This window comes from Homo sapiens, chromosome 3 (assembly GCF_000001405.40).
Source record: "Homo sapiens chromosome 3, GRCh38.p14 Primary Assembly".
Taxonomy (NCBI): Eukaryota; Metazoa; Chordata; class Mammalia; order Primates; family Hominidae; genus Homo; species Homo sapiens.
This window is the reverse complement of record NC_000003.12, coordinates 192,393,655-192,405,965: the sequence shown is the minus strand read 5'-3', so window position 1 is coordinate 192,405,965 and position 12,311 is coordinate 192,393,655. Positions and strand designations below refer to the sequence as shown.

General features: G+C 37.5%; 1 protein-coding gene across 7 annotated transcripts in view; it reads left to right on the top strand.

Annotated features, from left to right (window-relative positions):
• FGF12 (fibroblast growth factor 12) overlaps nucleotides 1–12,311 on the top strand; it is a 588,152-nt gene that overhangs the window by 321,576 nt on the left and 254,265 nt on the right. The window contains exon 1 of one of the 7 annotated variants that reach the window (XM_006713538.4): nucleotides 3,270–3,360. The exons of the other annotated variants lie outside the window; for them this stretch is intronic. Coding sequence (XP_006713601.1) covers nucleotides 3,357–3,360 — 4 coding nt within the window. The 5' untranslated portion in view covers nucleotides 3,270–3,356. Of the gene's footprint in view, nucleotides 1–3,269; nucleotides 3,361–12,311 lie in introns of those variants that run through there. 7 annotated transcript variants of the gene reach the window in all.

Below are 12,311 nucleotides of genomic sequence, written 5' to 3'. Positions count from 1 at the left end.
TTAAGACATTCCCAGTGCAAGGGCAACCTGCGTGTATTTGTATACCATTTCAGTTTGTTCTGAAGCTTAGCTTAGAAGAATGGGCATGTGGTGTGTGTAAAAACATTTTGGGAAGATGATAGTGTGCTATTATCTTCACTAACAAAGCCAAATAATTAATCTGTTGATTTGCTGTCAGCAGCCATGATTCACATAGCATGGAATAAGTCTATTTATAGAGAGATAGCACCTTCCACATATCAGTTCCAGAGAAGAATCTTTAGTTGGATTGGGAGGAAGTTGCTAAACACCAAAAAGAAAAACTATTCGAATCTGTTTTATAATCACTTTGATGTTGTATTCACTTAATATTTGACTGATTCTTGAAACCACTAGCCTTCCTAAGCCATATCATTGTGAACTAACAAAGTAACTCACAAATGGTAAAGTGGTGAAGTGGAATAATTTGTCCTGATAAAGAATTTCCACTCTGAATTTCTGTCACTGAGACACATGTTCCATTGACCAGACTTTCTAGGGGAGTGAGGCTTAGGAAGTGAATCTAAGGCAAGTGTTTGATGGGAAAGGCCACGGTTGTATTTCTGATTTCAGGGCTGACACATTGAGTATCTCTCCTTCTCTTTTTTCTTAGCTAACCAAGTTCTGATATGTGTAGTATTGAAGCTGTATAAATACAGTGGGGATCCTGAAATTATCATGGCAAAGGGCTCAGATTTAAAATGACAGTAACACAGAATGAAAACATGGGAAATGACTAGGTATGGCCTCACATCACACAGTTTCAGGGCCAGGGTGCACATTGGATCCTTTTTGTGCAGCAAAATCTCTGTCTTTGTAGATGAGAAATCCTGGAGCCATTGCAAGTTTGTAATTTATCTAAGGTTACACAACTAGGTTTTGTCAAAATTGAGACTAGAACTAGATTCAGTTGACTTTTTTTCCTACCTTCCTTGCAACACAGCAGAAAGTAACATCAACTAGTGTAAATAACTGGATGTCTTCTGTCAAAGTTTTAACCATTGGTATTATTATTATCATTGTGATCGTTATTTTATAATTAGAACAGAGATAGGGTAGAGTAGAAGAGGTAACTTGTAGAAGAAGGCATAGGCTAAGGAGGCCATTGGACTTCAGCAATGACCACCGTATAGCATTATTGAAGACCTATAGGCAGCTAGGGTTAATGGGCCCCTTAGACACTGTGTGGACTGTAGATCTTTGAAAATGAAATATTGGAGACCCTGAACTGGAAAGTTGGATGAGGTCATTGAACCATGAAAAAGCCTTTAGAACATTTCTGTTTGTGCACTTTCTAATGAGAAAAGAGTGTACTTATAGTCATTATTTGAGTCATTATTTATGTGTGAAAAGGCTGTATTAGTCAGGCACACTAGAATATTTGCCTAAATGTTGATGCCACTTAATTTGTTGTATCTAGACTATTAGTACATCCGTATGAATTACACGCTTATTCATGTCCAACCTTTAGCTTTATTTTGAGTAGAAACAATAGTACAAATGATTGACTACAAAATGATGTATGTTTTGACTCGGAAGTTATTACAGACAAAGGGTAACACTCATAATCAAGGAGGGAAAGGTGTTTGTAGAATCTCTGAATGTCTGAGTGGCCACGAACCTTGGAGGTCATCAATATTACTCTTTCATTTTTCAAATGAGACCCTCTCTGGAAAGAGCAAAGCAATTGATTAAGCCTAAATCTAGGTATTTTAAGTGATGTGGGTGTTTTTATTATATTTCTATATAACTTAGTTTCTTACCTCAAACCAGAACATGAAAAGAATAATCAATCAGGAAAAATCTATCTTAAAACCTAAAGATCTTCAGAATTTTTTTACAATTTAAAGATTTGATTTCATACGCCGATCCCTTTAAAAAGTAATGGAGTAGAATTACACTACATGGTAAAATAAATCAAAGTAGTAATTGTAATTTACCCGATTTTGTTGATTTTCATTTACCTTATCTTTCTGAGTCCCTGTTTCTGCTGTTATAAAAATTATGGTTATTCAAAATATTTCAGTATTCTTTTACATTGTTTCGGTAGATGCACAGTGTTTAACAGTATACTCATTCAACATTTTTATTATAAAACGTATCCTTTTGCATAGAGGAAGAAAATATCGTAGGAAATAGAAACTTCAAGAAGAAAGTTGACAGTAAAGGTGAAATAATGTTTAATCATGTGATTTATGGAATATGAGTTAGATTTTTATAAATTGAAATAGTTTTGGCCAATATATGGGTCAAGAATAGATTTATATGACAGGTGATATTTTACATTTATAGGAAGTACTTTGATTACATTTTCTCTTTTGAAAGTATGACTCATATCTGAACTACAAAGTCAGCCTAATTAAATGATATTTGGCTTGATTTTTGTTAAAAAAAAAAAAACAGTAAGACCCCTAACTTTTCAGAAACCCACCTTAGGGTTTAAACTGATATTTTGAACATGTTTTTAAAATTCGGTTCTCTCTACAGCAGTGCATTCTCAACAACAAATTATGTTTCCATTGTAGGAACATTTTAAAATAGCAGTTATTGTGATCTCTTGATTTCTTTCATCCCACAGAGATCTCATCAAGACGTAACTCGAGATTAAGTCTTTAAAGTTTTAATGAATTTGTTTTTCTTGAACAGAAGTAGAAAAACAATTTATAGGAAGTGAGGCAGTCTCTGCATTTGAGGAAGCAATAGGAATATTTTGGAAGATCTTTAGAAATGTAAGCTTTGTCTCATAAAATTGTATTTTAAAAAGTCCTGGGCTTACTCATATGGAAACTCATTGCTTTTATTCTTGGTGAGAGAATAAATTTGCTCTGGAAATTTTGTAGATTTGCTTTGGAAATATGTTAATAGTGATCAATTTTTTCTTGTCTCTTCTTTGAATGCATGATCATCATGTATATTTGCTTTTGATGTATAGAATTATTATAGATTGTATGATGATTCCACAAAACAGCCTTGTTAGACATAGAGGACACGCTTGATATGCTATATTTTCAATTTTATCTTCTGGCTTACTCATGGAATTACAGAACTTTTCCTATTTTCTAAAGAAAGGTGCACCACATCTAAAGGGCTGTGATTCCAAGACTACCTCCTAAGCATCTGTGAGTGGGAGAAGGCTTAGATGCAAAATGCCTATAAATTAATCATCTATAATAATAAATTTTAATAATAATAACTTGACTTCAGGATTTATAGAATTTCTTTATAATTTTTGCTTCTTTTACTTTTTATAGCAGTCTGCTGAGATAGCCCCATCTTAGAAAAAAGAAAACTAAGCCTCAAGTGGCAATGAGACTTGTTCAGATTCATGGAATCAGAAGATGAGTAAGTGTCACATGGCTCCCAGTTCCACACTGCAGATAATCTGCTTTTATCTCCCACCACACTGAGGGTTAGGAAGCTGGGAAACTATTGTTGGAGGGAATCTGATGAAAAGTTCAAGAAATGTGGAACGTGATTACATGGTTTGTTTTGCTGTGTGTGTGGTCTAGAGTCCCCAGAGTGGAGGAGAGAAGTGGAAAGCTGATGGAGATCTTCAGGGCAGGACTGAAGAAGCAGTCCCATGGCTATGTTGTTATGTGCTGGGCTTAGGCTCCTGGCTCGGATGTTCCTGCCTGAATGCCGGGAGCCTTGATGATATGAAGGGGTGCCACATGGGATACCTAAGGACCCACTGGGAGACTTGGGCCCAGAGGGCCAGACTCTCTTAACCATAAACATAAATGATTGCTTCAGATGTTTTGGATAGTAAAGAGGTTAACACCAAGTTAAAGAGAGCTCTGTAAGATTTAATCTTTTTGTTTGTTTGTTTAACTTAAGTGATAGCATAGCAGAATGATTAAGTACCTGGACTTCGGAGTGGGATGTGAATTCAAATTATGGTCTTATTATTTGTAAGAACATTAGGCAAGTTTCTTAATATCTTTGCACCTCAGTTTGCTGATTTGTAAAATGAAGATATTACCTCTAGCTTTTGGTCAAGAAATGCTTCTTTGAGGAAAAATCATTTAAGCTGAGCTCCAAAAGATGAAACAGGCAGACAGGAATGGAAGAACCTTCAAGGCAGAAGAGAACAACTTGCATGAAGATTGATGTGAGAGGGAGCTCGGTGCTTCTGAAGAAATTGAAGTATAGCTGAAGCAATAAGAACAAGGGGAGAGGGGTACAGATGATGTTGGAAAGTTTGGCAAGAACCGCAGGGCCTTGAGAAGCCTAAGATGAATTTTGTATTTTAATCTAGGGTCCAAAGAAAGATCAGCAGTATGGGGTGATATCATGCGACTTGTATTTTTAATTGGGCACTTTGCCTTTGGAGAAGAGAATGGATAGCAATGGAAGCAGAGTAGAAGCAAGGGAACAGTAAGGAGGCTAGGGCATCAGTCTGGACCAGCAGTTCTCAAAGTACCATACAGTACAGAGGCCCTAGAAGCTTCCTGAAAATCTTTTAGTGGATCCAGAAGGTCAAAACGATTTTCATAAAAAATATTTCCTAATACCACTAGTTATTTGCCATTTTCACTCATTCTGTCACAAGTGTCCAGTGGAATTTTCCAGAGACTGTGTGATATATCCACAATCATCTGTAAAAGGTACTAAAAATTTCCTCCCTTTTCAACCACGTTTCTTTGTGAGGCCAGGTTATCCTCATGTACTTCATCCACAATAAGATATCAAAAGAGATTGAATGCAGAAGCAGACTTGAGAACAAGCTGACTTCTATTAAGCTAGACATTAAAAAGATTTACAAACCAGTCTTTTCATTAATTCCTTTTTGTTTGTTTTGGAAAATAAAGATAAGTTTTATTAAATCATGCTATTTATGTTAACACAGTGGGGCTTATTATTGTTTTAATAAACAAATAATTATTTGAAAAATTTCATTGTAACTTCTAAATACAGTAAATATTGAGAGATATAAACTACATAAGCACAAAGCTCTTCGGGGTACTCAATACTTTCTAGGAGTGTAAAGGATCCTGAAAACAAAAAGTTTGAGAACCACTGGTCTAGGCTATAGATGATGTTGAAATGAAGTTGATGGCCATGGATATAAAAAGAGTGGGTAAAGGTAGAATGAGCAGAACTTCATAAGAGGTAGACTATGAGTGGAGAGTCGAAGGTGCCTGGATAATCCCTGGCTGAACTATTCCATAGTGAATTGCATGTTTGTGGAGATGGAGGAATGCTGGTGAAGGAGCAGGGTTGATAGAGGTCAAATAATGTAATTACCCAACTACAAAACACTATAGAATGTGAAGGTGGGGACGGGGTGCGGTGGTTCACACCCATAATCCCAGCATTTTGGAAGGCTGAGGCAGGTGGATCACAACGTCAGGAGTTCGAGACCAGCCTGGCCAACATGGTGAAACCCCATCTCTATTAAAAATACAAAAATTAGCTCAGTGTGGTGGTGGGTGCCTGTAATCCCAGCTACTTAGGAGGCTGAGGCAGGAGAATCATTTGAACCCGGGAGGCGGAAGTTGCAATGAGCCAAGGTCGTGTCATTGCACTCCAGCCCGGGCCACATGGCGAGACTCAGTCTCAAAAAAAAAAAAAAAAAGAAAAGAATGTGAAGGTGGAAGATTGGGTTTTATTTATTGTTTAATGGTTTTACAATACCCATATATATAAGGCTGTTTACTTTATTCTTGAACTCTCAAGAAACACTCATTGGCCTTCGAATCGTCAAGTGATTTTACAAACACAAATTTTATAAAGTTCTATTTTTCTGCCTATTGTTAGTTATTTGATTCGTTTGTAGTATTTATAGGCCTCCCAGACTCCATGCTTGTAACCACACTTATGTTAATGCCTCATAATTGAAACTTGGACTGATGGTTTTGCATTTGAAGATTCACCAACCATGGATGGAAATATTCAAGAAGAAAACCATAGTACAACCATGCTATGCAAATACTATGCCATTTTATGTAAAGGACTTGAGGATCCTCCGGTTGGGTATCCTGAGGGTGGCGGTCTTGTAACCACCACTCCTCACCCTGAACATAGGGAGGGATGACTGTACTCTATAGAGTCTTTTCTTCGTTACTTTTCAGGAGTCAGTAGAGAGGGCCCTAAGGCCTAAGACCAAACTTGGTTCCCTAGAAGTAAAGAATGACATGGGTCAAATAGGATCTGTATGCTGAATCACAAAATGTTAGCACTTAGAGCTTATATAAGCCACTGGTTCTCAGCCCTAGCTGCAAAATGAAATCACCTGAGAGTTTTTAAACGTACTAATGCCAAACACCTAGAAAGTCTATGCTAATATGCATCATATATTGAGAGTCCCCAACCTGTTCCAATTCCTTTATTTCATAAATTGTGGCCCTTAAACAAAATTAATGATTTTGTTAATGTCTTTAGGAACACATCCATTATGCCTAGAAATTTTATACACTAATATAATTTATAATGATGATCTCTTCTGTCTCAGCCCATTCTGGTTGTTATGATAAAATACCATGCACAGGTGGCTTAAACAACAGAAATGTATTTTTCACAGTTCGAGAGGCTGGCATTCCCAAGATCAAGGTGCCGGAAGATTCGGTGTCTGTGAGGGCCTGCTTCCTAAGTCATAGATGGCAGTCTTTGCTGCTTTTTCAAATGGCAGAAGGGGCAAGGGAGCTCCCTGGGGTCTCTTTTGTAAGACCACTAATCCCATTCATGAGGAGAGAGGCTTCATGACCTAATCACTTCTCAAAGTCTTCCACTTCCTAACATCATCTTGGAGGTTAGGATTTCAACATTGGGCAGGGGGAGGGACACATAAACGTTCTGTCCAAGGCACCACTTTTTTTTTTTTTGCTTATATTTGAATCTTTCCTGTGTTTAATGATATCCCAAAACTGAGCTGCATCATCATATGGAATGCTTGCATGCCTCGTCTTCTTGATGAAAACTTCAGTTCCTAAGCACAGGACCTGGTCAGCACTAGATTTCTCAGAACTTAGTATACTGCCTGTGTCACTGCAGTTCTTCAGTTGCTGTTAAATCAATGAGGAAATGACATCCTGACTCACTGAGCAAGCCTCAGAGGAAGAAGGATTCTGAAGGTAGCATCTCTCCTTCCCACCTAAGGATGCTGAGGTCCTGCAAAGCCTGGGGCTTCTCAGTTTCACAGGACTGGTTAGATTCTGGATTTAGACTCAGGTTTGTTTTTCCTAATCTACTTTTCTTTCTACTCTGCCAGTCCTGGAAATGGACCTCAGTTTCTGTCTTTGAAAAACAAGGGAGCTATATATAAGAATATATAAGAGCTGGCTCACACCTGTAATTCCAGCACTTTGGGAAGCTGAGGCGGGCAGATCACTTGAGGTTAGGAGTTCGAGACCAGTCTGGTCAACATGGTGAAACCCTGTCTTTACTAAAATACAAAATTAGTCGGGCGTGGTGGTGCATGCCTGTAATCCCAGCTACTTGGGAGGCTGGGGCAGGAAAATCACCTACCTGGGAGGTGTAGGTTGCAGTGTGCCAAGATCACACCACTGCACTCCAGTCTGGGTGACAAAGCAAGACTCTGTCTCAGAAAAAAAAAAAAAAAGAAAAAAGAAAATATAAGGGCCTCTTTAGCCTGAAAAGCTATTAACTGTAGCTCCCCTCACCCCAGGAAAAACATTTGTGACTGGGAACATGAAACACAGATCTTTTCCCTGCTTCTTACTTGAAGGACAAAACTATTTTCTTAGTGTGCTGTTTTGGATGTTCCTAACTGCATCCCATGGTTTAATTACTTGCAAGGCACTAATAAAGAAATCTGTCTAAAATGTCAGTCTTTCTCTTGACACCAATTTAGGCTTATTTTGTCTCTTCAAGGATTAGAAATTAAATCAGTGTGCTGTGTGCAGTGTTTTAGATTTTTTTTTAAAGGGGGTTTGAAGGGAAGAGTGAAATTCATGAAAGAAGAACTATAAACCCGGATAAGTTGTATAAGTTATTATAAAGATAAAATAGACTAAAAAGTTCATAAAGAGTTTTTTTTTAAATTGCACTGGTGATTTAAATGTTGTATATTAATTTGGGAACTCAAAAGATGACCCAGATCACCTTCACAGTGTCCTAGAATCAGATAATGCATTAAAAATCATTAAGAAACAGGGGCAGAATTTAAATAAGTGCCCAAAGTAGGGATCTATATTCAAATTTTCTGGTTAGAATAGGTGTCAGGTTCTGTTTTCAGCCAAATAGCTCTAGCTGTCTACACAATATACCTTCTACATACAATATTACATTTGAGAAAGGAAAGTCACCCAGAGTCACCCACAGAGGCCGCAACAGAAAAGGTTCATTCATATCTGAGTAATTAATAGAAAATGATGGAACATATAGAGGATCTCAAATTCTATGGAAACCCAAGTTTCTCACTGAGGAGCGAGTCATGTATGTGTTGCTGTCATGCTTTGTTGCTTCAAAGGATATTGCAGTGGGTTTTTGCAACTCGACTCTAGCTAGGAGAAGAAGAGATGGCATATGAGGTGATAGTTCAGAAGCTCAGAATTCTAGGAAAGGAAGTCACAATGATAGAAACCCAGACATCCTCTGTAGTCTTCTTATAGGATATTTCTCTGAGAAACTGGAGATCTATTTTCTTTTCGGGAAAGTAGAGAGGATTCCTCATTGCCTCCTTGCCTCACCTGTCTTTCCCTGACAATCCCTGGGCCATTATCCTCTGCAGCTTTGCTCAGGAAAGGAGTTGGCAGCATTGTGGCCAGGCCGCCTCCACATTCTGCAGCTCTGGTTTCCCAGGCATTCTATCTACTCCTCCCTCTCCACCTACAGGTCATGAGAAAAGCAGGACCAAGAAGGAAACTTGCTTTGAAATTATGCTTTTCCTGGTATTGCCACAAAACTCCCTTCTTTGAAATGTTCCCGAGTGCATTTTCTGGGTTACCACATGGCTTTATGATTTAGAGTTCCATTCATTATAATTTTGCTAATGGAACTACCATCTTGGTTGGGAGCCTGCCCCTTCAGGGTAAGTTTTGATCTGGTGAAGATGGAGGTTCCTTGGTCCTGACTCTTGTTATTTTCACTGAAACTGCTGGCCTGCCTGTTGTCTTTTTCATGCTCAGCAATTACATTCAGTCTGAAGCTGGTTTTCTTTGTGATTATGCAGACACCTGTTAGGGCTGAAGAGCAGCAAGCTTTATGCAGCTGGGTTCATTATTTGAATTCAAAGTCTGGTTGAACTGGCACCTTGATTAAGACTTTCGTCCCAGGCCATTATATATCTTGCACTTGGGGTTGACTAACTGTGACATTAGCCTTGAGATGTCCACCTGGTAAGGTATATATGAAAAGTGTTGGTGGGTTTGAATTGGAAAACAGAGCTCATTACAATACACCTGCCCACCTCATGGAAGAAAGAAATAAGACTCATAGTGGGTGTTAGGTCATACAACTATGAAAGGCAGAGCAAGGACTGAAATTTGCGATAAGCCTATGCCTTACTGCTACACCACAGCTGCCTCCTTTTAGGGCCCATTGCCCAATGCTGGTAGCAAGAGCTATCTGCCTGTTCTGTGTCTGGAGCAATATAAATGTTGGGTAGATGCGTTTAAATATCTACAGTCAAGTTATATTGCTAGACACCCATTGAGTATTTGTATATCATGTGCTTGGGAATGGAATATAGAAATACTGAGAAAATCCTTGCCTTCTTTTGTGTAAGGCAGTATATAATTAAGATTTATTAACTCTTGCTGGATTTGTGTTACTGTGTTCCAAGTTATAGTTTTGCTGTATTATTTTGGACTGTTTCTCCTTTAATGTCTATATTTCAAGAAAAACAGTAATTTCTTAATTTAAAAAACTTAGCCACAATCTGTCTTTTAAAAATACACGTGTGGGCTCAATACGTGGTTAAGAGCAGACAGTTTATTATTGTATCATCAATATGAATAGGCTCCACAATCAAGGTTCTTTCTCCACCCTTCCCCACATACTACTCTAGCCGACCCAAACCTTCTTGACATTCATAGAACATTTACTGCATCTATCCATTTCAGTTCTTTTAGTTTATAGATGTTTTTATTTCTCCACGAGGGATGCCATTAACCTCCACACCTATCCTTCACTTACCCAGAGACAACCCTTCATTTATCCACTCTGCTGCAGTCCTGCCCATTATTCAAAGCCCAGCTCAACTCCCATCTCTTCTGCCAGATCTTCTCAGATCCTTCCAGGTAGAATGAATCACTGCCTGCCCCAGGCTTTATACCCTGCACTGTTGTCTGCGGTTAGTCTGTCTTGTCTTATAATTACTCTATAAGTACCTGTTTGTCTCTGCCGCTGGAGAGTGAGTTCCTGGAGGGCAAGCGCCCTGTCATTTCAATGCTTTCTACATACTAGGTGATCAGAAATAATTCATCAAAACGAAATTAATTCCATTGGTGACTAATGTGCTTATGGCATCAGTATAGTCAGGCTCTGAGGGAATTTCTGCATATATATGAAAATGTTGGGAAAGAAAATAAATCAGTATTTTTGGCTAATACAAATATCTCTTCATTTGATATTAAATTCCAAAAATATTGTTACTCCAGTTTAATTTGATATGTAGTTGTTTGATAAATACTTAGAACTTCATGTCTTTACTTATTCCCCAACCCAACTCCTAATGGCCATCCCTTCTTATACTTAGTATTTACTTTGCCTAACACCTTCAAACTTTACCTCTTTCTTATCAGAGCACCCACTGATGCAGGGGGCAGTTTCTATGGGAATGCTGAAAGAAGGAGCATCTTTATATTCATTTATGTCTTTGCCCCAGAAACCTAGAGGGAGTGGGTGGTGCAGCCAATATGGAAAAGGGCCCATTTCTATTTTGACTGGTTTAGGTTTCTTAACGTTAGGTTAATGAGGAATAACCTTTGCCATTGATTTCAGATTTAGTCATGTCTGGTCCTTATATTTACAGCTGAGACCAACAAGTCATCTTAGTGTTAAATACCCTTGAGGGAACATATTCACTCTGGGTTCACTTTCTCTGGTGAAGCGCTAAGTGATGGGGAAATACAGTATCGATTGGGTTTAATGGAAAAGGTTCTTTCTGTCAACTCTTGATTACCTCATTTGTTTTTCTTCTTTTCTCTTACTTTTAAAGTTATTGATAGCAGCATTAAATAAGTCTTCTGTGTATGCTACAGTTCTCTGTATTTATTCTTTTGCTTGGTTTGAAACCCAACCTTTTTAAAAGGAAGATATAAATAAAAGAGGTTTTTGATTCAGTCTAAGGTAAAATGATGTGATAGAAAAAATACTGGACTAGGAGTCAGAGTCCTGGTGACCTTGGGGAAGTCATTTTTCTTCTCTTCAGCTTAGTTTCCTTATTTTCAGCATGAAAGGGTTACTATCAATGATTTCCGAAATTCCTTTCAGCTTTATTATTCTTGATGTATATTTATGGTGCTAATACTCATGGAGGACAGGTGTATGTATTCCAAGATATCTGTATGTCAGATATAAGAAAATGGCTTAATGATATGTTTGATATGAAGTTCTAGAAGGTTTGACATGTATATTAAATGGAATATCACAAATTTAACAAATATATTTTTATTAGCTTCTCTGTTGTATATTCTTTATTTGTTCTTAGATTCATTCAACTGGACACAAATTGACTGTATTTCTAAATTTTCCTTGTTTCTAGCATTTTGACAGGCCTTCAAGGTAGACCATTACATAAGTTTGGACCTCAGCCCCGGAAGAACTTAATAATATAGTGGAACTAGTATTTGTTTTAATAGAAAATACGTTTATTTACTAGTGTAGTCTCGAAGATAATAAAACAATTTTTAAAAAACAGACAGGAAAGGAACCACATGATTTTGAGTGAAAGCTGGAGACTTATTTCTGGGTAGGTTAATGTGTAATGTCATACTGCAGGACAGTTTTAAGCAATAGAAATGTAGTAAAGTATAGGATGCCATAGGAACTGATTGGAATGGATGTGGAGAGGCAAGTCATGCCTTAATTATCAAGTTTTTAGATTTCCCAGACTTGGGATATACCTTTTAGATATGTTTTCCACCAGGACTTCATCAATTATGAAATTTTTTTTTAAAACAATGTTTACTAAATATCAGCCTTGACATTCTCTTAGAATCATCACGTTTAATATTATGGACAGTTTGTGAAATTAATTTATGCTCATTAGTGATAATAGTAGAAGACTTGGTAAGGAAGGATATGATTAAAATATATCCTAAAATGATATCTTAAGAGTTTCTGTGAATTTTATTCATGTATATTATCCACATTATCTATTTCCATAG